This window comes from Homo sapiens, chromosome 6 (genome assembly GCF_000001405.40).
Source record: "Homo sapiens chromosome 6, GRCh38.p14 Primary Assembly".
Taxonomy (NCBI): Eukaryota; Metazoa; Chordata; class Mammalia; order Primates; family Hominidae; genus Homo; species Homo sapiens.
This window is the reverse complement of record NC_000006.12, coordinates 167,997,136-168,019,513: the sequence shown is the minus strand read 5'-3', so window position 1 is coordinate 168,019,513 and position 22,378 is coordinate 167,997,136. Positions and strand designations below refer to the sequence as shown.

Genomic DNA, 22,378 nt, shown 5'->3' with positions numbered 1-22,378 from the left:
TTCTCCTGCATCCCAACCAGTACGTTCGCGTCTCCTCTATGGCATTTTTTTCATCTCCAGATGTTTTATTTGGGTCTTTTTATAATTTTTCATATCTCCACTCAACGTGTTTACATTTTCCTCTACTTCCTTGAACACACAGATTTATAACAACTGTTTTCACCTTCTTTACTAATTCTATCATTTGTGTTATTTCTCGCTCTATTTCCGTTGCCTGAGTTTTCTCATCAGAGGTCATATTTTCCTACTTCCTTGAATCATGTCTGGTAATTTTTGATGTCAGACTTTGCTAATTACTCCTAACTGGGTGCGCCATGTTTTGACCCTCCAATCCCAGTAATTTTTCTTCGGCTTTATTATGGGATGCCAGCAGTTACTTGGAAACAACTTGACCCCTCGAGGCTTGCATTTAAGTTCTGCCGCATGGCACCAGCAGCCTTTACTCCAGGGCTAACTTCTCACTCTACCCAAGGCCTTGTGTATCACGAGGTATTTCTGCCCCGGCGGGAGCACTCACAATTCCCAGGCCTGTGTGAGCTCTGCAGACTTTCTCCCGGGCTCCTCCCCGGTGGTTCTTTCCTGGCCTCCTCCTTCTTACCGCTCCTGTGCTGGTCAGTGCTCAGCGGAGGCTTGAGGGGAACCCTCTGCCCTTCTCCAGATGTGACCCTATCGAGCGACACAGGCTGCTGCCGGGGAGAGGAAGAGGCCTCAGGCACTGACGTCCTTCCGAGGAGCAGGAGGACAGAGCCTGGGAGCAGGACCACTCAGCCAGCCCTTGGTAGCTGAAGGAGGATGAGCAGGGCTTTCCAAAGGCCACGCGCATTGATTCTGAGCCTTCCGGGGCTCTCCTACCACCCTGGGAATACACCACGACCCAGTGCCGAGGAAGGCATCTGACAGAAAGCCCTATTGTTAGTTGCTATCATCACAACGAAATTACTATCAACAAACTGGATATATAAAAAATGTCTATTTACTTAAAACAATGAACATATGGATTACAGATGTCCCTCGTCTTATGATGGGGTTGTGACCTGAGAAACCCATTGTAGGTTGAAAATATTGCAAGTTGAAAATGCATTTGATACACCTAATTTACCAAGCATTGTAGCTCAGCCTAGCTTGCCTTAAGTGTGCCCAGAACACACACATTAGCCTACAGGTGGGCAAAATCACCAAATGGAAAGCTTGTACACTAAAGTGTTGACTGTTTCACGTAGTTTACTGAGTACTGTACTGAAAGCAAAAACCAGAAGGGTTGTAATGGGCACTCGAGACATAGTGTCTACTGAATGTGTATCTCTTTCACACCTTCCTAAAGTTGAAAAATCTACCTCAGGGACCGTCTGTATTTATAATCACAATTAGTCAAATGATAGGATAAATTACATATTTCATTACTCAAACCCCAATGCAAAATTTGTATTTTTAATATGGAAGTTTGCTTTATAGGACATCTTGAAAAGCACTTACCTTTCAAAATGATATGTCTTATCAATCAGAGGGTGGCCAGGACGATCACATTTCACCAGAATTGTTTCCTGAGAGAAAAGAGTAAAACGACGTCATAAGACTTTGTGTGCTGCGTTAATTAAACACAAGCCCCACCAACCCCAGCCTGCCGCCTGTTTTTGTAAACAACAAAGTTTGCCTGGAACACAGCCCCGTCCTTTGTTTACAGACTGTGTATGGCTGCTTCTTCCTCAAGGGCAAAGCTGGATGATTGAGTTGGAGACCACGTGGCCTTCAACGACGAAAATATTAACTCCCTGGCCCTTTCCCAAAAAGGTTTGCCGACCCCCATAAAGAGAAGAAGAAAGTCGCATCTACTGGGGAACACACAACAGAGCTCCTCAATCTGCCACAGGCTGAGGGTTCAACACCCAAATTACTGACTCTAAGGGCCCTTGACAGTTCGCAGGAGAGGTTTTCAAATGGCAAAAAAATCACATCTCAGACATCATTATATTCCATCGTAACCAGTGGAACTAACATGTCTGTTTCAAAAACAAATTTCGATCTTGCTGGACTGTATTCTTAAATTATATCCTGTGTAAGGGAAGCAAAGGCATTTTTCAGCAAGAAATCTGAAATTAGTTTAGTTTCACTTAAGCAAAGAAAAGATGAACCTGGATTGGTTCCAGTTCTAAAACAAAATGTGTATTCATGAAATAGCAGGGGTGATAGGGAGAATGAAAACCACAACTGCAGTGGCGAATAACCCAGAGGCACTGGATTTTTTCCATAACAGTGTTTAGCGGATGCTAGGATGATACCTCCACACCTTCTTCTTAGTAGTGTGTGTGTCTGTGTGTGTGTGTCTGCAATAACATGTCAAAGAAGTGGCCTATTTTATAAAGACAAAAGCTGTGAGATTCAACAGCTGTTTGTGGTTGTTGTTGCTGTTTGTTACTCGCTTACTGCTGGACGGGCAGTCGTGGGCAGCTGCCGGACTATTGCTGCCTCTGGATTCTGTGAGGTCTCCGATGTGAAATGCTGAGATAATCAAATAGTGAACCTGTCCTGTCTTGCCAGAGGTGAGAGGCCGTGGGAATCCCCGGCGTGTCTCTCAGTGGGGCAGCTCAGGAAGCAATGACGGAACGCCAGCCTCAGCCCCGCGCTGCCTGGGGACAGAGCCTCGGCTGTGCCTCGTAGGCAGCCTTGGGTTGCTCCCTGCCCCATGCCCACTGCTATTGTCCAGTGTAATGAAACAGCGCCCTGGCTATCCCCTAACTGGCCTCTGCCTCCAGTCCAGCACCCCTCCCACCTGTCCTTTATGTTGTTGCTGTAGAAATCTTTCTCAAATGCAAATTAGAAAAGAAGAAAGCAGATGAAGTCACCGAAGCCAAAGAAAGAAAGTTAAGAGGGAGGGAGTGGGTGACGCAGAATGCCACCTGTTGGGGAGAGGTCGCTTGGGTCCTTGTTTAAAACTCTTTATTGGATTTGGTAGACTGGGAGGTCACTTGCTACCGTGATTTGTATCCAATTTCCTGGGATGACTTTTGGGAGAGTGGGTGGGGATGCAGGCCCCACCACAGTGACTCTGGCAATGCCGGGAGGAGCAGCCGGTGGCTGGGGCGGTCCGTGGTCTCCATCGCAGCACAGAAACGACCACCAGGATGTGGAGGTTGCGCGTGCTCGTGCTCCGGCACGGCTTTCACAGAAGAAGCTTATGTCTCTGCTGAGTATTTACTGGGCAGTCACTGTGTACCAGAAACTGTTTCGGAACCTGCATGTTCTTACATGATAATGTCACATCCCCTAAGCCAGAAGCAGCTCTTCAGTTCCCTTCACGCTCAAAACACCGAAGCAAAACTCCGACACCCGCCAGGACCAAGCCCCTGGCCTCGCCATAAGAACAGACCTCCCAGTCCCTAATCCAACCGCCAGCCTAGGCCCTTTGCTCCTTTCTCGCGGCATATTTTCATTTTTCTGCTGTCCACTTCGGGGACCGTTCCTTTGATGCTATGCCAGAATGTAATCCTAGTGCTCCAGTATGAACCGTACAGGAACACACACCCCAGAGTGTTTTACTGCTGTCTTCAAATGTCCAAGCTTTAACCATAAAGAAAAGCAAACGAAAACCACAAAGGTCTACAGTGTCTAACCCGAAAGCTCAAGGGACACCATACAAGAAACGTGCAAAGCCATAAAAACAAGCCTGAGTCCAAAGGGTCCCCATGCTATTTAGAACTTCATTCCACAGTGAGATCGTTCGATTTTAAACATCTGAAATTATTCCACAGCAAAGTTTAGTTTTTCCAAACAGCTTCAATGCGTTCCTGCCTGTCCAAAAACCCTCCCCACTCATGATACTAAATACCCTTAATCTCACAAGAAGGATTCATTTCTCTTGGCTTTTTAAACAACTTTCTTTTATCAAAATTTTCAAGCTCTTGACAGCATCCTTCTTTTCAAGATGGGACTGCCCATCTGGAGCCACTTCCCTGAAGAGGCCTGAACACAACTGCATGGGGGACGCATGGCCCCTGCCTCTGGAATCACAAGGTTCCCATGAAACAGCCTGTGAAAAGCACCTGGCTCAGAGGCAATGATCAGTAAAAACTGTTTTCCTTACATTTACATGCTGTAGCATCTAGTTTTTTATTTATATCCAATTTCCTAGGATAACTTTAAAAGCACTTGGGGCATAAAATTCTTTGCCATCAAATTTTAGAGCTAAAAGTACATTGAATTCACCCTCTCCATTTTAAGTAAGGAAACCTGAGAGGAAGAGGAGACCCGTGAGCAACATGCAGACAGAGTCAGGGACTCTCCCAGAGGCAGACACAAAACAGCCAGGAGGGAGGGACTGCACATCTACAAGCTCCGTGCAAGCCAAGGCTGCCTGCTGTGGATATCATCAGTCCTGTGGATGGTGGTTCAAGGCCCAGCGAACCCACGTTAAAAAAGAACAAGTAATGTATTAAGGACCATACAGTCTCTGACCATTAAAAATTTTGTCTCAGGTGTATCAAATCTATCAGTTCTGCCAAGCACCACCAGAAAAATATGCTTTACATTGGCTGCATGTAACTAAATAAGTGTCATTTGATACATAGGCTCTGTTGACTATATTCAGACATTCAGGTCAGTAACTGTCAAACTTAACAATAAGGGAGAATCAGGGACGAACAAAGACAGTCCAACAAGAACTTGATACAAAGCCAGAAATCTGTTCTCCCATGTCTGATTATCAACAGAGTGGATATAAATTAAATGAAAAATGAAAATAAATAGCCTTTAAGACAGCTACCAGGAACTAGGGCAGCAGCCAGATTCTCCATCTGAGATCGACTTTATTAATAGATTGAATCCAAACGATGAAATGCTGAGTTAGATTGCAAATGGAAATGAAGTGCCGTGTTACACGTCCAATACAAACTCAAACTCTCTTTAGACTTTTGGAAATAAAAACATAACGTGGGAGCCAGGAGATACAAGGTCACAAAACGGATCATTTGCTTTCTCAGCAGATTTGATGGCATGAAGCCCTTCAATGAACAGGCCTATCAAATTAAAAAGCAACATCTTGGATTCTGATTTAAAAACAGAATCCAAAATGTCCCAATAAAATTTTATTCTATTTTGACGAGTAAGATGGAAAACCTCAAATATCCAAATCTGAAGATTCGGTGGAACTTTGGCAGGAACGGGAGAGGACTGCCAAGAGAATGAATAAAGTAACAAGGAACAGTAACAACAAACAGTGATGTTAATAATCATAATAAGCTTTCCCCAGGGGCTGGGGCCAGGCCTCAGCCTCAGGATGCATTTCCTCACTGAAAAACTCCTTCAGGTTAACCAGGATGCAAACAGGGAAGCGTAGAAAGGCAATTACTAACCACAAATACTCTGTGTGTTCACTTATAACAGGAGGGGATTGATAAGGTCCCAAGGGCTCCTGTTAACACGAAGTCCTGATCATGAGGATTTAATCTGTCTCCTTTTGTTTGACTCAAGAATACTGGTGCTTAAGGCATCAAGTGAGATAAATATATATATATATATATTTGCATGGTGGGAGCAAAGTCAGCAAGACGCTGATGAGAGAGAGCTGGTGCTCAGCTCCCTCTGCCCAAGAAAGGACCAAGGCAATGACTACACAGCTGAGCTCGGACTATGTGGAAGGAAGAGAGCTAAGATCTGGCAGAGTGTGCAGTGCAGCATGGGAGTGGAGAGGCACCTGTGTTGACCGGAAGTCCAGGAAGGCAGAGGGGAGGCACCTGGCTTCTGCAGCCCCATCTCCCCTGCCTGGGTCAGATCTGCCCAGGCAGAAGGGACTTCCCCTTGCAGGGAAAGGGAAGCAGCAGATCCCCACCAGCCCCCACAGAAAACACCTACAGTCCTTACAGCAGGGGAATCCTGCAGTCCTCACAGGCCCTCAGCCATTTGGGAGCTGCAGAGAATTCACGACACAGCTCCATGGCCCCAGATTAGGAGCACAAGGTGTGCACTGCTCACCCCCCAGCCATCCCTGTGAGCCAAGCTGCTGCAGCACAGCCCCATCTTGAGACCAGAGCCACCTCTGGAGCATACCCTGCTCTGGGGAATGGAAACCACAGCCATTCTCCAGCCTTGGAGCTCCATCTTCATGACTCCAAGCCTACACGGGTGGCTGAACGTCACAACCCCAGCTGCATGGATCCCGGGCCCAGGATCAGCTGTGACTCCGGCCTTGCACAGCAGGGAAACCAACCCCCATCACTGCCCTACCAGCTGGAGGAACCTGGCAGTCCCACCCACAGCAACCCTGCCCTTGAGTTAGCCAAGCTGCTGTTCACCTTTCCCCAAGCAGGAGAGGCACCTGAGCCTCCTAGTGGCTAATACACCTCCAGGCCAGAGGAGGGGCTGGGCACCTGTGCTCAGGACATGAGAAACAGCCCCACAGTACCCCAACACCCTACAGACATGCTCCTCACCTGCCCAATAAGCACCTGAGAAACAGCCCCGTTTCTCAGCCACCATCAGTAAGCATATCCCCGAGCCAGGCATGCAGCCTTGCACCTGTACCCCAGGCCCAAGAAACAGCCGCATAGTTCACCCCTGGTGGACACATCCCAGGCCAGCCACACAGCCTGAAACCTGTACTCCAAACCCACGAAACAGCCACACAGGTCACCCCTGGCAGATATACCTCAGGCCAGCTGAGCAGCCATGTGCCCTCGTCCCAGGCCTGAGAAGCAGCCCTGTGGGCAGCCCCTGGCAAACACACCCTCAGGCCAGCCAAGCAGTCACGCAGCTGTGACCCAGACATGGGAAACAGCCCCTTGAATTGGCCCCAGCAGACACACCCCAGACGAGCTGAGCAGCCTTGTGTCGGTGTCCTGGATCAGAGAAACAACCCTACAAGTCACTCCTGGCAGGCACACTCCCAGGTCAGCTAAGCAACTGTGTGCCCATGCTTCTGGCCGGAGGAACAGCCATGTGGCTCCAACTCCAATGAGCCAGACCCCATGTTGGGTGACCTACCGTGTGCATGTGTGTATCCCGAACCCGAGATATAGCCTGAGAGCCTACCCTTGGAAAAGCCGCATCACTGTTACCACAGACTCCCTCACTGTAGGCCACTGAGAAACTCACAAACACCACTAGTGTGTATGACAGCTAAAGGAACAATATGGAGACTACATTGCTGTGTCCATCTAGAACCATGCACCCTAAGTCTTTCCTCCTGAAACCTACTCCATAAAATTGGAAGAGACAATTTTTTCACCAGATGTATAGGAGTCAATGTTAGGGACACAGCAACCATGAAAAAGCAGGGAAATATGTAACCTCCAAAGGGAAGTAATAATCCTCTAGTAACAGAACCTAATTATAAGGAAATATATGAAATACCAGAAAAAGAATTCAAAATAACAATCTTAAGGAAACTCAGTGAGATACAAGAAAATACAGACAATTCAATGAACATAGAAAAACAATTCATAATTTGAATGAAAAATACAATAAAGAGACAGAATTATAAAAAAGAATCAAATCTTAGAGCTGAAGAATTCAATGAAATATATGATATAATAGAGAAATAAAAAATACAATAGAGAGCTTCAACAACAGACTAGACCAAATAGGAAGGAAAAAATTCTAAACTTGAAGACAGGTCTTTTGAAATAACACAGGCAGACAGAGGGAAAGAGAGATAATAAAAAATAATGAAGAAAGCTCACAGGATTTATGGGACAGCATTAAGTGAATCAATATTTGTATTATGGGCATTCCAGAAAGAGAAGAGAAAAGCTGAGGAAAACATATTTAATAAAAATACAGCAGAAAACTTCCCAAGTCTTGTGAGAGAAATGGACATCTAGGTCCAGGAAGCTCAAAGAACCCCCAGGCAGGTCCTCTCCAAGGCACATTGTAGGAAAATTGTCAAAAGTCAAAGACAAATAATTTTAAAAGCAGCAAGAGAAAAGCATTAAGTCACATATAAGTCCATTAAACCAACAGTGGATTTCTCAGCAAAGACTTTGCAGTCCAGGAGAGAATGGGATAATATAGTCAAACTGCTGATTGAAAGAAAAAAATAATTCAGCCAATAATATTATACCCAGCAAAGCTATCCTTCAGAAATGAAAGAAAAATAAAATCTTTCACAGACAAGTAAAAACTAAAAGAATTCATTACCACAAGACGGGACTTACAAGAAATACTCAAGGGTGTCTTACATGTGGAAGTGAAAAGACAATAACCACCATCATAAAAAATACAAAACTATAAAAGTCACTTGTATAGCCAATGCAAAAAGAAGATACCAAAAGGAATCAGACTCACTACAGAAAACCACCTAAATGCAAAAAATAAACAATAAGAGAGGAAGTAAGAAGCAAAGGATAGACAAAACAATCAAAAAGCAGTCAATAAAATGACAAGAGTAAGTCCTCACCTATTAATAATAATCTTGAATGTAAACAAATTAAATTTCCCACTTTAAAGATGTAAACTGCCTGACAGATTAAAGAACAAGACCCAACTATATGCTGTCTACAAGAAACTCACCTCACCTCAACTGTAAAGAGACGTATAGTCTGCAAGTGAAGGGATGGAAAAAAATATTCCAAGCAAAGAGAAACCAAAAGCAATCAGGAGTAGCCTTACTTATGTAAGATAAAGCAGACTTCAAGTTAAAAGCCATAAAAAAGAGGACAGGAGGGACATTACACAATAAAGGGATCAATTCAGCAAGAGAATATGACAATTGTAAATATATTTTCACCCATATATATATAAAGCAAACATTATTAGATCTAAAGGGTAAGATAGGCCCCAATACAATATTCACTGAGGACTTCAACACCCCACTCTCAGCATTGGATAGATCATCTACACATAAAATCAACAAAGAAACATTGGATTTAAACTGCACCATAAACCAAATGGACCAGAAGACACTTACAGAACATTTCACTCAACAGCTACAGAATACATTTTTTCATCAGCAAATGGAACATTCTTCAGGATTGACCACATGTTAGGACACAAAACAAGCCTCAACAATTTTTTTCAATCAAAACCACATCTAGTGTCTTATTCGACCATAACAGAATAAAAGTCCACATCAATAACAAGAGGAACATTTGAAAATACACAAATACATGGAAATCGAGCAACATGCTCCTGAATGACCAATGGATGAAGGCGGAAATTAAGAATGAAAATTTAAAATTCTCTGAAACAAATTAAAATAGAAATATATCATACCAAAACCTATGGGACACAGCAAAAAAGTTAAAATTCTCTGAAACAAATTAAAATAGAAATATATCATTCCAAAACCTATGGGACACAGCAAAAGCAGTATTAAGAGCCAAGTCTGTAGCAATAAATGCCTATATTAAAAAACTGGAAAGATTCATATAAATGACATTATGATGCACCTCAAGGAACTATAAAAGCAAGAACAAATCAAACCCATAATTAATAGAAGAAAATAAATAAAGATTAGAACCACAATAAAAGAAATTGACACAAGAAATACAGAAGATCAATGAAACAAAGTTAATTTTTAAAATAGACAAAGAAAATCAACAAACCATTAGCCAGACTAACAGAAAAAAGAAGGAAGACCCAAATAAAATCAGAAACAGAAAAAGAGATATCACAACGGCTACCACAAAAATACAAAGGATCATCCAGAACTACTATAAACAACCATATGCCAATAAATTCAAAAACCTAGAAGAAACAGATAAATTCCTGGATACATATAATCTACCAAGATTGAACAAAAAAGAAATTAAAAATCTGAACAGACCAATAACAAGTAATGAGACCAAGTCAGTAATAAAGTCTTCTAATGAAGAAAAGTCTAGGACCAGAAGGCTTCACTACTAAATTCGACCAAACCTTTAAAGAATAATTAATACGAATTCTTCTGAAACTATTGCAAAAAAAACTGAAGCAGGGGGAATTCTTGCTAACTCATTCTACAAGGCCAGCATAACCGGGATACCAAAACCAGACAATGACAAAACAATAACAAAAAACTATAGGCCAACATTCCTGATGAACATAGTTACAAAAATTCTCAGCAAAGTACTAGCAAACTGCATTGAACAGCACATCAAAAAGATAATACACCATGATGAAGTGGGATTTATCCCAAAATGTGAGGACAGTTCAAAATATGCAAATCACTAAACAAATTGGGTCACATCTACAGAATGAAGGACAAAAATCATGTGATCATCTCCAAAGATGCAGAAAAAGCTTTTCAAAATATTCAACATCCTTTCATGATAAAAAAAAACAACTCTTAATAAATTAGGTATAGAAAAAAACAACCTCAATATAATAAAGACAATATATAACAAACCCACAGCTAACATCCTAACATCTTTCAGCTTTTTCTTTAAGGACTGGAATAAGACAAGGATGCCAAGTCTCACCACTCTTATCAATATGGTATTGGAAGTCCTAGTCATAGCAATTAGGCAAAAGAAAGAAATAAAGAGCATCCAAATCATACAGAAGGAAGTCAAATTGTTCCTGCTTGAAGATAACATGATCTGATATATAGAAAATCCTAAAGACTCTACCAAAAATCTCTTAGAACTGATCGACAACTTCGGTAAAGTTGCAGGATACAAAATTAATATGAAAAAATCAGTATTGTTTCTATATATGAGCAATGAACTAAATGAAAAATAAATTTAAAAGGCACTCCCATTTATATACAATAGCTGCAAAAAATTTAAAATACCTAGGAATAAATTTAACCAAGGAGGTGAGAAACCTCTAAAAGGGTAATTAGAAAACACTAATGAAAGAAATTGAAGAGGATGCAAACAAATGGAAAGACATCTCATGCTCAAGAATTGGAAGAATTAAAATTGTTAAAATGACAATACAACCCAAAGCAATCTAGAGATTCAATGCAATCCTTATCAAAATACCAATGACATTTTTCACAGAAATTGAAAAAATTGTAAAATTTGTATGGAACCACAAAAGATTCCAAAAGGCCAAAGAAATGCTGAGAAAAAAGAACAAAGCTGGAGGAATCACACTACCTGCTCTCAAAATATATTACAAAGCTATAGTAACCAAAATAGCATGGTACTGGCATAGAAACAAACACATAGACCAGTGGAACAGAATAGAGAACCCAGAAATTAACCAACATATCTATAGTCAACTGATTTTTTAACAAAGATGTCAAGAACACTCATTGAGGAAAGGATGGTCTCTTCAATAAATGGTACTAGGAAAACTGGAAATCCATATACAGAAGAATGAAACTAGACCCCCACCTCTTACACTATACAGAAATCAACTCAAAATGGATCAAAGGCCTAAATGTGAGACACAAAGTGATTAAACTACTGGAAGAAAACACAGAGGAAATGCTTCAGGAAAAGGTTTTATGGGAATCTCTTTTGGCTTCAAGGAAGAAATTCTTTCATAAGGTAGGCCAAATCCATACAGTATTCCTTCATAAGGTAGGCCAAATCCATAAAGTAAACTAAAGAGAATGTTCTATTAAAGGAAAGAACAACAAATCCATGAAGTTCTCTCTCAGGCCATTTAAGATAAGAGTGATGCAGTAGGGCCTGTGGGCCCACAGAAATCCAAGCTATGACTGACCACAACAGGGAAATGTGATCTGAGAGACCAATAGATGCTTCTTTATCAACTAAGATGGATCCTAAGATTAAGGAAATAAAAGGTACCTATGAGTCAGAGGTTCAGGGCTTGGCTGCCTGACAGCTTCCTAAATTCCTGTGGCTACAAGAAAAACCACACTCTTGCTAAACTCCCTAACAACGGGAGCCATCAGGAAAATCCCTAACTCTGATTCACAACCCAGACCACCGCAACCCTGATTAGGCAGAGGATCAGCCTTGCACAATTCTTTCCTGAGAAGCAGCTGCAGACCTCCAGCTATTTTCGGCCAGCTTATACAGACTGTGCACAAACTGTGTGTCCTGGAGTTCACCTTTTAACAGAGAGAGCTGGAGACTGTCTCTTCTCAGTTTGCAAACTGATATCACTGATAAAATCCCCCTTTCTACTCTTTAGCCATCCTGGTAGTCATTACCATTGACTGTGGTAATCATTTTACTGATTGTATGGTTTTGTGTTTGTTTTTGTTTTTGTTTTGAGATGGAGTCTCATTCTTGTTGCCCAGGCTGGAGTGCAATGATTCAATCTCAGCTCACTGCAGCCTCTGCCTCCCGGATTCAAGCGATCTCCTACCTCAGCCTCCCAAGTAGCTGGGACTACAGGCGCCCACCACCACGCCCAGCTAATTTTTTGTATTTTTAGTAGAGACAGGGTTTCACCATGTTGGCCAGGCTGGTGTCGAACTCCTGGCCTCAGGTGATCCATCTGCCTTGGCCTCCCAAAGTGCTAGGATTACAAGTGTGAGCCACCATGCTCAGTTGTAAAACTGATTACCACATGTGTCATCCAAAGATGGATGGTAATCATATACATCTGTATATTAAATTATCATGTTGTAGATGTCGAATGTATACAATTTTTGTCGATTTTACCTAAATAAAGCTGAATCAATCAATCAATCAATAATACTTTAAAATAAAGAATTGTAAAAGTTTTTCTTTCTGGGGACATAGTAAGAGCAATTTTAAAGTATGGCTATAACAATTTTCTTGGCCTTTTTAAAAAGTATAAGGCTATCAGTCCGTTAACTAAAACTACCTTTTGAAAAAGAGTTTCTAAAGTTTACAATACGTAACCATCATCAGACTGATTCAGGTGACGGGCCTTGTAGAACCGCATATGGTAATCAACGTGACACAAAATCATCTTCAAAATGGCCATTGTGTCCTACATGACCTGAGATTTTCCTGAATTCAAAATTATCAATGTTAGTGAAGTGTTTAGCATTTCATGTGCTTTCTAAATTCATCTTGTGATCACCATAATAAGCTGAATGAAGGAGAGGCCCAGCATTTTTTTAACTGTTCTCACTGGGGACTTTGTAACGTACACAGAAATGGGGGAAACAGCACAAGACGTCCTCAGGTGCAATCGCCCGGTGCCACAAGTGTGGAATATCCGGCCAGTCTTGTTTCACAGACACTCCTGCAAAACCCACCTCCCTTTCCTCAGCATACTGTACATTCAAAACCAGACAACAGATCGTTGTATTGCTGAGTATTACAGGCTGCATTTTTAAATGATAAGAACACTTTTAAAGCACAATTTGCCCGGTGTGGTGGCTCACGCCTACAATCCTAGCACTTTGGGAGGCCAAAGCAGGAGGATCACATAAGCCAGGAGTTCAAGACTAGCCTGGGCAACATAGTGAGACCCCCCCATCGCTAAAAAAAAAAAAAAGAAATAGAATACAATCACCATGCCATTCATCACACTTTACAAAATTAATGTCACATGGAGAGTGGCAGAACATGTCACCCCAAAATATGCCACTTTGGCATCAGGATTATCTTTACTTAAAGGTTCCTGAGAAGCAGGAGGCTCATGCAGAGCACTCCAGCTTCCCCTCTTCCTCCTGCACTGAAGGCAGGACCTGACCCTCCCATGAGAGCCGCCCTTGCTGGGCCAGGAACAAAGCATGTTCTCGTCAGTAGATGGGGTCTGTGATGGTTAATACCGAGCGTCAACTTGATCAGCGGATTAAAGGATACAAAGTATTGATCTTGGGTGTGGCTGTGAGGCTGTTGCCAAAGGAAATTAACATTGGAGTCAGTGGGGTGAGAAAGGCAGACCCGCCCTTAATCTGGGTGGGCACCGTCTAATCAGCCGCCAGCAAATATAAAGCAGGCAGAAAAATGTGAAGAGAGAGACTGGCCTAGCCTCCCAGCCTACATCCTTCTCCCGTGCTGGATGCTTCCTACCCTCGAACATCGGACTCCAAGTTCTTCAGCTTTGGATCTCGGACTGGCTCTCCTTGCTCCTCAGCGTGCAGATGGCTGTTGTGGGACCTTGTGATCGTGTGAGTTAATACCTAATAAACTCTCCTCTACATATGTATCTATTCCATTCGTTCTGTCCCTCTAGAGATCCCTGGCTAATACAGGGTCGAAGCTGAGCAGCTCTGCACAGACAGACCTGTTAGCACAGCCCTCGCCTTCCCTCTGTCTCCCATCTCATTTGGTTGCTTGTCCACAGTGGCCTCTGCCCAACCCCGCAGGGCAGCGTGCAGGCTGTGCCACTCCTCAACTCTTCATTTTCCGGGGGGCTCTGTGTCAGGTAGACCCCACATTCAACAAATCCGATGCTCTTCCCCGTCAACCTGCCTTAGGCCAATTCCATTCTCAGGCTCCACCAGGGACCCTAGGAGGATAGAGGAGAAGGTTTGCCCCCCTATATACCCAGGACACATTCGGACTTCCCCCACTGTCCCAACAATGCCTGTGACAGTCAGCTCGTGCATGCCAGGCTTGCCTGTGACAGTCGGCTCGTGCACGCCAAGCTCGCCTGTGACAGGTGGCTCGTGCACACCAGGCTCCAAACCAGGACACACTGAGGCTGACACGTCTCATTCTACTGTGTCCTCCTGCCTTTAAAAACAAAAGTTATTACTAGAGAAGCCAGGCAGTCTGTTCTGTGAAATGTCCGCATTCTGGCTTGGCAGATGGTTTTCTCTCCTTTAAAATGACTGTCCCCAAGACTTGATTAGATGCTGGTTTGATTTTGAAGCAAAAGTGCTTCATCAGTCCCACTGTGTCCCACCTGCTGCACCACCTCGGGACATCATGTCTCTGCATCCCAACTTCAGGGAAGCTGCGAGTGCTTAGAGGGTTTGAGGCAACCCTGAACCCTCGTCGTGAAGATCCTATCAACCCCTGAGCAGCGTCCACTCAGGAGAAAGTGCTTAGAGGGTTTGAGGCAACCCTGAACCCTCATCGTGACGATCCCATCAACCCCTGACCAGCATCCTCTGAGGGCCTAGAGTCACCATTTCATTGGGGGTTTCAAATGATGGTTTTCCAGTTTTATCATTTGTTGAGTTTATTACCTAGAATCTTCTGTTCCCTCAAAAACCATGCATCTGCCCTGAGTATGTTTCCTACAGGAAGGACATCACAACCCTTTTCTCTTTCTATCACTTTTTGGAATAATGAGTTGATGTTCTAGCACCCAAAAAATTAATGTGAGGTCTTTTTAAAAACTCATTATTATGAACTCAAGATTGTACATATAATTATATATTTCAATCTGCTTTAGTCCCTCCTTAATCCCCAGGCTTCTATCCCGCGTTGAGGGAGTGCCTGCCGTGGGCTCCATGTGCTGGGACAGCCCCCGTTCTGTTCTGAGGCCTCCCTTGCTGTTCAGCTCCCCAAGTGCCCCAGGCTCCTCCCACCCACTTCCTTTCCTGGCCCAGATGCGAGGTGTCAAATGAGCTTTTCTCCTGCAGTGGGCTTGGTACTCAGACACCCCTGGGGTGTTGGGCTGCTCCTTCTGACTTCTCGGCCTTTTCGTGGATAAAACTAAAAAGCAAGGAGGCTTTCAGGAGAAACAAAATCATGCTTGATTCCAGTTTAGAATCACAAAGTTCACCCATGATATCACTGATTTTATATTTATATCTCTTTTCCTGGTGCTCTAAATTTTAGAACTTGCTCATATTTGCACTGATTGATCATTTGGGCTGGAAAATAAATGGAAGTGAAGTAACTTCCTCACATAGAACTACGGGTCAGGAGCTGGTTTCCCACAAGGAAAGCATGTCAAATGCTTAATTTCATGTTCCAATAGAAATCAAGGAACAAAAACAACTCTTCTTAACTAAGAAAGCCTAAAATAAATTATTTTCTATTTATTCAGTCTCTGAGTTGCTCTCCATTGTAGGGATCTGTGGGGACTACGGACACCCACCAAGCAGGAAGCTGCTCTCTGAATACAATTTGTGAGGAAACTTGTAGACTCAGGTCATCAACAGCATGGGCCGCTTCTCTAGAGATGGAGCTGAGGGAATGAAACAACATTGAAAATACACATCATGAAGAAATTGCTTTCTGAATTCCTAACATTCAGCCTCTAAAACACCCTTGTGTTTCTTCGCCATCATCTCTGTCTCTGTCCTGGTCACTCTAAAACACCCCTCTGCTTCTCTGCCATCATCTCTGTCTCTGTCCTGGTCTCCCAGGACACTGGCTTGGCTCCTCTTCCTCCTCTTCCTGTGTGCATGGATCCACCCTTCCATCCTTTTCTAAAACTCCACTCGTCCTTTTGGACCTTATGCTTTTTATTTTTTTTACTCTTTACTTTTTATGTATTATTTTCTTCTCTTCCCCACCCCCTTTTGTCTTCTCTTGATTTTTTTACTCCAATACCCCTGTTCTTTATTTCTTGTTTTCATCTTCCCTGTCTGCATTGCATGGGAGAGTCATCCATACTCCAGTAAGAACGCTTAAATATCTCCTTCATGCGCAGTTTAGAGCGGTGGTGATACAGAACAAGGGTCCCAAATCCCTGGCCATGGAGGCCTGTTAGAAACCAGGCTGCACAGCAGGAGGTGAGCGGTGCGCAAGTGAGCAAAGCTTCTCTGAATTACAGCCGCTCCCTATCACTGGCATCACTGCCTGAGCTCCACCTCCTGTCAGACCAGCAGCAGCATTAGATTCTCTTGGGAGCACAAACCCTACTGTGAGCTGTGCATGTGAGGGATGCAGGTTGCACACTCCTTATGAGACTCTGATGCCTGATGACCTGTCACTGTCTCCATCACTGCTAGATAGGACCCTCTAGTTACAGGAAAATAAGCTCAAGGCTCCTACTGATTTTACATTGTGGTGAGTTGTATTATTATTTTGTTGTATATTACAGTGTAATAATAATAGAAATAAAGTGCACAATAAATGAAATGCAGTTGAGTCATCCTGAAACCATCCCTGCCCCGGCCCGCCAGTTCGTGGAAACCTGGTCTTCCAGGAAGCTGGTCCCTGATGCCAAAAAGGTTGGGGACCACTGATCTAGAAGACAAGCTCATCAGGTTCTCCCCTTCAGGAAATCAAGCATCTGCAAGCCATCATGAATCTGAAAAAATGCAACATGTTTCAAAACCAAAAGCCGATGAACACAAACAATGTGCCAGTCCACACACACGTTTATGGAGCTTCTTAGGAAGCTCTGAGAAGCCAAACAGCCCAGAGCCGCACCATCCAGGAGAAAGAAGCCTCTGGGACTATGGAAACTTGCCTGTCTTTCTCACCTGCCCAAGGCCACGCCTCAGGTGTCTTCTCACCTGCCCGAGGCCACGCCTCAGGTGTCTTTCTCACCTGCCCGAGGCTACGCCTGAAGGTGTCTTCTCACCTGCCCGAGGCCATGCCTCAGGTGTCTTTCTCACCTGCCCGAGGCTATGCCTGAAGGTGTCTTCTCCCCTGCCCGAGGCCACGCCTCAGGTGTCTTCTCACCTGCCCGAGGCCACGCCTCAGGTGTCTTCTCACCTGCCCGAGGCCACGCCTCAGGTGTCTTTCTCACCTGCCCGAGGCTACGCCTGAAGGTGTCTTCTCACCTGCCCGAGGCCATGCCTCAGGTGTCTTCTCACCTGCCCGAGGCCACGCCTCAGGTGTCTTTCTCACCTGCCTGAGGCTACGCCTGAAGGTGTCTTCTCACCTGCCCGCGGCCACGCCTCAGGTGTCTTCTCACCTGCCCGAGGCCACGCCTCAGGTGTCTTCTCACCTGCCCGAGGCCACGCCTCAGGTGTCTTTCTCACCTGCCCGAGGCTACGCCTGAAGGTGTCTTCTCACCTGCCCGAGGCCATGCCTCAGGTGTCTTCTCACCTGCCCAAGGCCACGCCTCAGGTGTCTTTCTCACCTGCCCGAGGCTACGCCTGAAGGTGTCTTCTCACCTGCCCGCGGCCACGCCTCAGGTGTCTTCTCACCTGCCCGAGGCCACGCCTCAGGTGTCTTCTCACCTGCCCGAGGCCACGCCTGAAGGTGTCTTCTCACCTGCCCGAGGCCACGGCCTCAGGTGTCTTCTCACCTGCCCGAGGCCACGCCTCAGGTGTCTTCTCACCTGCCCGAGGCCACGCCTCAGATGAGGCTACTGCAGCTGAGGAGCCCCATTTCTGATGGGATTTCATTTGCATTCATTTGCATGTATGTGCCTCTTATGGTGGGAGGCTCGCAGGGAGGCTGGTGTGTAACAAAAGCCGTCTGGAAGTGCCATGTAAAAGGCAAGTTCAGGAAAGCTGATCACCGCTGGGGGCCATTAACTACAGGCTGAGCATCCCTCATCCAAAAACCTGAAATCCAAAATGCTCCAAAATCCAAAACGTTTTGAGCACTGAGATGACGCTGAAAGAAAATGCCCACTGGATTATCTTGCTGAACCGGTCCATACAAAACACGAACATTCGAAAATATGAAACAATTCAACATCGGAAACACTTCTTCTGGTCCCACACATTTTGAATGAGGGCCACTTGGCCTGTCCCGCGCCACACTGACGTATCCGACAGGCCCAATTTCCAGTCCTTTGACAAGTGACAAGTGGCCACCAGTCAAAAAAGTGCAGAAAGTACTAGAGCCAGCACAATCATGTCTAAACACTTTGAAAAGAAAAAGTTTCAATGACTATCAAAAGATCCGAATTTCTTGTTTCACACTGTAGAACCGGCCAAGTGCTTTCTAAAGACCTTCTCAAGTCAGGTGCTAAACTGCAGGATGCAAACACTGTGAGGCTCAAGCCAGGCCCTCCAGGGAAAGCTCATTTGGACAGATTAAGTGGAGGAAACCAAGACCAGAAAAACAGCCTGAGCAAAGCAAAGTCAGGAGTGGGACCCAGTGCCCCTAGCAAACTGGTGCATACGGCCAACCCCATATGGCGTTGGGACAGCCGGGAAGCGCAGCACCTTGGAGTGGCGGGAGGGTCAGCAATGGGAGTGGGGAGGGCCAGGTGTGGTCAGGATGGGAGTGGGGAGGGCCAGGTGTGGTCAGGATGGGAGTGGGGAGGGGCAGGTTTATGGAGGGAGGGTGAGAAGGTCAGATGTGGTCGGCAATGGGAGTGGGGAGGGTCAGGTGTGGTCAGGATGGGAGTGGGGAGGGGCAGGTATAGACAGGATGGGAGTGGGGAGGGTCAAGTGTGGTCAGGATGGGAGTGGGGAGGGTCAGGTGTAGACAGGATGGGAGTGGGGAGGGTCAGGTGTAGACAGGATGGGAGTGGGGAAGGGCAGCTTTATGGAGGGAGGGTGAGAAGGTCAGGCGTGGTCGGGATGGGAGTGGGGAGGGCCAGGTGTGGTCAGGATGGGAGTGGGGAGGGGCAGGTGTGGTCAGGATGGGAGTGGGGAGGGGCAGGTTTATGGAGGGAGGGCGAGAAGGTCAGGCGTGGTCGGGATGGGAGTGGGGAGGGGCAGGTGTGGTCAGGATGGGAGTGGGGAGTGTCAGGTGTGGTCAGGATGGGAGTGGGGAGGGTCAGGTGTAGACAGGATGGGAGTGGGGAGGGTCAGGTGTAGACAGGATGGGAGTGGGGAGGGTCAGGTGTGGTCAGGATGGGAGTGGGAGGGTCAGGTGTGGTCAGGATGGGAGTGGGGAGGGTCAGGTGTAGACAGGATGGAAGTGGGGAGGGTCAGGTGTGGTCAGGATGGGAGTGGGGAGGGTCAGGTGTGGTCAGGATGGGAGTGGGGAGGGTCAGGTGTGGTCAGGATGGGAGTGGGGAGGGTCAGGTGTGGTCAGGATGGGAGTGGGGATTTCCAGGGGGTTTGTTTCATGGGGAAGGAAGTAAGTCATATTGAGTATGGTTTTCAAGTAAGCATTTGAGTAAATGAACTTCAGATAATTTTGCTGTATCCATGAATACCATCAAAACTTTCTCTAAGTCAAAAGTATCAGTTGAGTCAATACTCACTGACTGCCTGCATGGCGGAGTGGGTGGTCTTTGGGGTTCATAAAGGCAGGGTGCTCCCTTTTTGATATAGTGACATAAAGGGAAAAGTCCATTCAAAGCCTGTCCCTGTTCGGTCGGACCCCGCAGAGGCAAACCACGAAAAGACGGACGCCCTCTCAGGTGCAGAACCACTACCACGCACGAGAGGCCTGCTCAGGCAGTTTGGCCTTTTGCAGGCCGTATTACAGAGGGCTGCAGAGTGTCCACTGTCAGCAAGACAGCGCCATCCTTAAACAGAGCCCCCACCCACAACTCGAGAATGTCCTGCTTTGGGACCGGGGACAGGACAGTAGACGGCATTTAAAATTGTGCCACTCCTCTGTCTTTTCCCTGAGCACACAGACATACACACACCGTGCAAACACAGGTTACCTGCTCTGCAAAACTGGATCGTCGGATTCACTATCAAAAGGCAACAAAGGACGAATCCGACAGTGAACTCTGATATTTCGTTTCAGCTCCTGCAATGATCAAGAGGTCTGCGTGTCAACCCGGGCGCGAGCCTGCACTGCGGAGCATCCCCCACTGAACGTGCACCGGGCACCAGCTCCTGAGACGCGGCCGTGAGATCTGCAGCACCTGTCTCCACTTCGAAAGACCCCTGCAGGGTAGTGAACAGTTATTTTATTTATTTATTTTTTGAGCCAGAGTCTTGCTCTGTCGCCCAGGCTGGAGTGCAGTGATGCAATCTCAGCTCACTGCGACCTCCGCCTCCCAGGTTCAAGTGATTCTCCTGCCTCAGCCCCCAGAGTAGCTGGGATGACAGGTGCCCACCACCACGCCCAGCTAATTTTTGTATTTTTAGTACAGAAGGGTTTTTACCATGTTGGCCAAGCTGGTCTCGAACTCCTGACCTCAGGTAATGCGCCCGCCTCGGCCTCCCAAAGTTCTGGGATTATAGGCATGAGCCACCGTGCCCGGCCATGAACAGTTATTTTAAACTTCTGGATTCATACTTCACAAATGTGTTCACTTGGCAAAGGGGTATCCCTTGGTAATAAGTACCAAGGAAAATCCCTTTGAATGGCATCCTGGGCTCGACATTTTAGGCATTTTAGAGGGGATTTTGGAAATTCAGTATCTGTCATATTTCCTTGATTTAATGACTGGAAGGAAATTAGAAGCTTTTTATTCTCATAAACTCCACTGGTTTCCAGTGAGCAACACATCTTCTCCGTATGTGCTCAGAACTTGCCAAATCCATTCTGAAATCTTGTCTTGGATCCACAGCAAGTTTATCCACCCTGTCATGCTGAGCAGCTCCTTCTACATTTTGAAAACCAAGTGGGTGTCATAGGCCAATGATTTACAGCCTCCGTCTGGTCTCTATGAACCCACAGAAGCTGGGATCAGCCTCTGCCTGCATATTCTCCATGGGCCGCGCACTGCACGCTCCTCAGCTAGACCAGGAGACCAGGCTTGAGGTGGAACACTCAGAAACTTCCACAACCAATTCTTCCTTGTGGGACTTGACTCCATCTTAGGAAGGTTCATATTATCTTTTTCATGCTCCAGATTAAAAAAAAAAAAAGCTGCAGCGTAGTGAGACTTTCTGAAGTGCCAGGTGCTTCACTGATATCTCCCTTTGTCTTTATAGCAACCCAGAGAGGTGGTGCTATTGTGAAGATTAAATAAGAAAATACACCAAATGGTTTCAAAAGTACTTGGTACACAGGAAGCACTCAATAAATGTTCTCTTATATCAATGTTTGGAGCACTGAACTACATAAGTAGATGCTTAAAATGAGAATTATTCTTTGACACATCTAACAGCTGGAGAACCTCTCGGCATGGCCAGGGAAGAGAAGCTTCGCAGGAACACTGGCTTCGTGGGCCTCGGGCAGGTGGAATTCGGAGAAACTGGCCAAAGTGCAACCATCAAAATCAAACCTCACAGAAGCGAGGGTCACCCACTCAATCATCCACCTTGGCATCCTCGTGTTGCAAAATCAAACCCTGAGACTTTACATTAAATTTCATGGGATCTCAGGTCTCATACCTTCGACCAAGAAAGCACGAGAGCCTCTGGGTCTTGTTAATGGGCAGTGAGAGACGTGGGTGGAAGGTGCTGGTGAGGAAGGGGCAGGGGCAGGGGCAGGGGCAGTCTCCACCGGCATCTCCAGTTACAGCAAAATCCTTGCTTTTCCCGCGCAAGTCCCCATCTCTGCAGATTCCCCCGCCCCCCATCTCTGCAGATTCCCCCGCCCCCCATCTCTGCAGATTCCCCCGACCCCCCATCTCTGCAGATTCCCCCGCCCCCCATCTCTGCAGATTCCCCCGCCCCCCATCTCTGCAGATTCCCCCGCCCCCCATCTCTGCAGATTCCCCCGCCCCCATCTCTGCAGATTCCCCCGCCCCCATCTCTGCAGATTCCCCCGCCCCCACCTCTGCAGATTCCCCCGACCCCCCATCTCTGCAGATTCCCCCGCCCCCCATCTCTGCAGATTCCCCCGACCCCCCATCTCTGCAGATTCCCCCGCCCCCCATCTCTGCAGATTCCCCCGCCCCCATCTCTGCAGATTCCCCCGCCCCCATCTCTGCAGATTCCCCCGCCCCC

At 46.0% G+C, this 22,378-nt stretch overlaps 1 protein-coding gene across 4 annotated transcripts in view, besides 2 other annotated features; it reads right to left on the bottom strand.

The window, feature by feature from the left end:
* Window positions 1–21,843, bottom strand: part of KIF25 (kinesin family member 25) — a 47,421-nt gene extending 25,578 nt beyond the window's left edge. For 2 of the 4 annotated variants that reach the window (NM_030615.4, NM_005355.5), the window contains exons 1-5: window positions 20,644–21,843; window positions 20,194–20,422; window positions 16,855–16,971; window positions 15,811–15,900; window positions 1,474–1,541 (exon numbers count right to left, since the gene is read on the bottom strand). The gene's annotated coding sequence lies outside the window, so the exon portion shown is untranslated. Of the gene's footprint in view, window positions 1–1,473; window positions 1,542–15,810; window positions 15,901–16,854; window positions 18,995–20,193; window positions 20,423–20,643 lie in introns of those variants that run through there. The other 2 variants (XM_047418749.1, XM_011535803.4) reach the window with 2 other exon arrangements.
* Window positions 6,348–7,264: an enhancer, noted in NCBI's record as "H3K4me1 hESC enhancer chr6:168412930-168413846 (GRCh37/hg19 assembly coordinates)". NCBI's record gives its function as "activates a minimal SCP1, AML or CMV promoter by ChIP-STARR-seq in primed H9 embryonic stem cells {active_cell/tissue: H9 hESC(primed)}" and the evidence as "EXISTENCE:reporter gene assay evidence [ECO:0000049][PMID:30033119]".
* Window positions 11,191–12,390: an enhancer, noted in NCBI's record as "BRD4-independent group 4 enhancer chr6:168407804-168409003 (GRCh37/hg19 assembly coordinates)". NCBI's record gives its function as "activates an origin of replication core promoter dependent on BRD2, P300/CBP, MED14 and CDK7 cofactors, and independent of BRD4, by STARR-seq in HCT116 cells {active_cell/tissue: HCT116}" and the evidence as "EXISTENCE:reporter gene assay evidence [ECO:0000049][PMID:35650434]".
* Window positions 21,844–22,378: the final 535 nt, after the last annotated feature.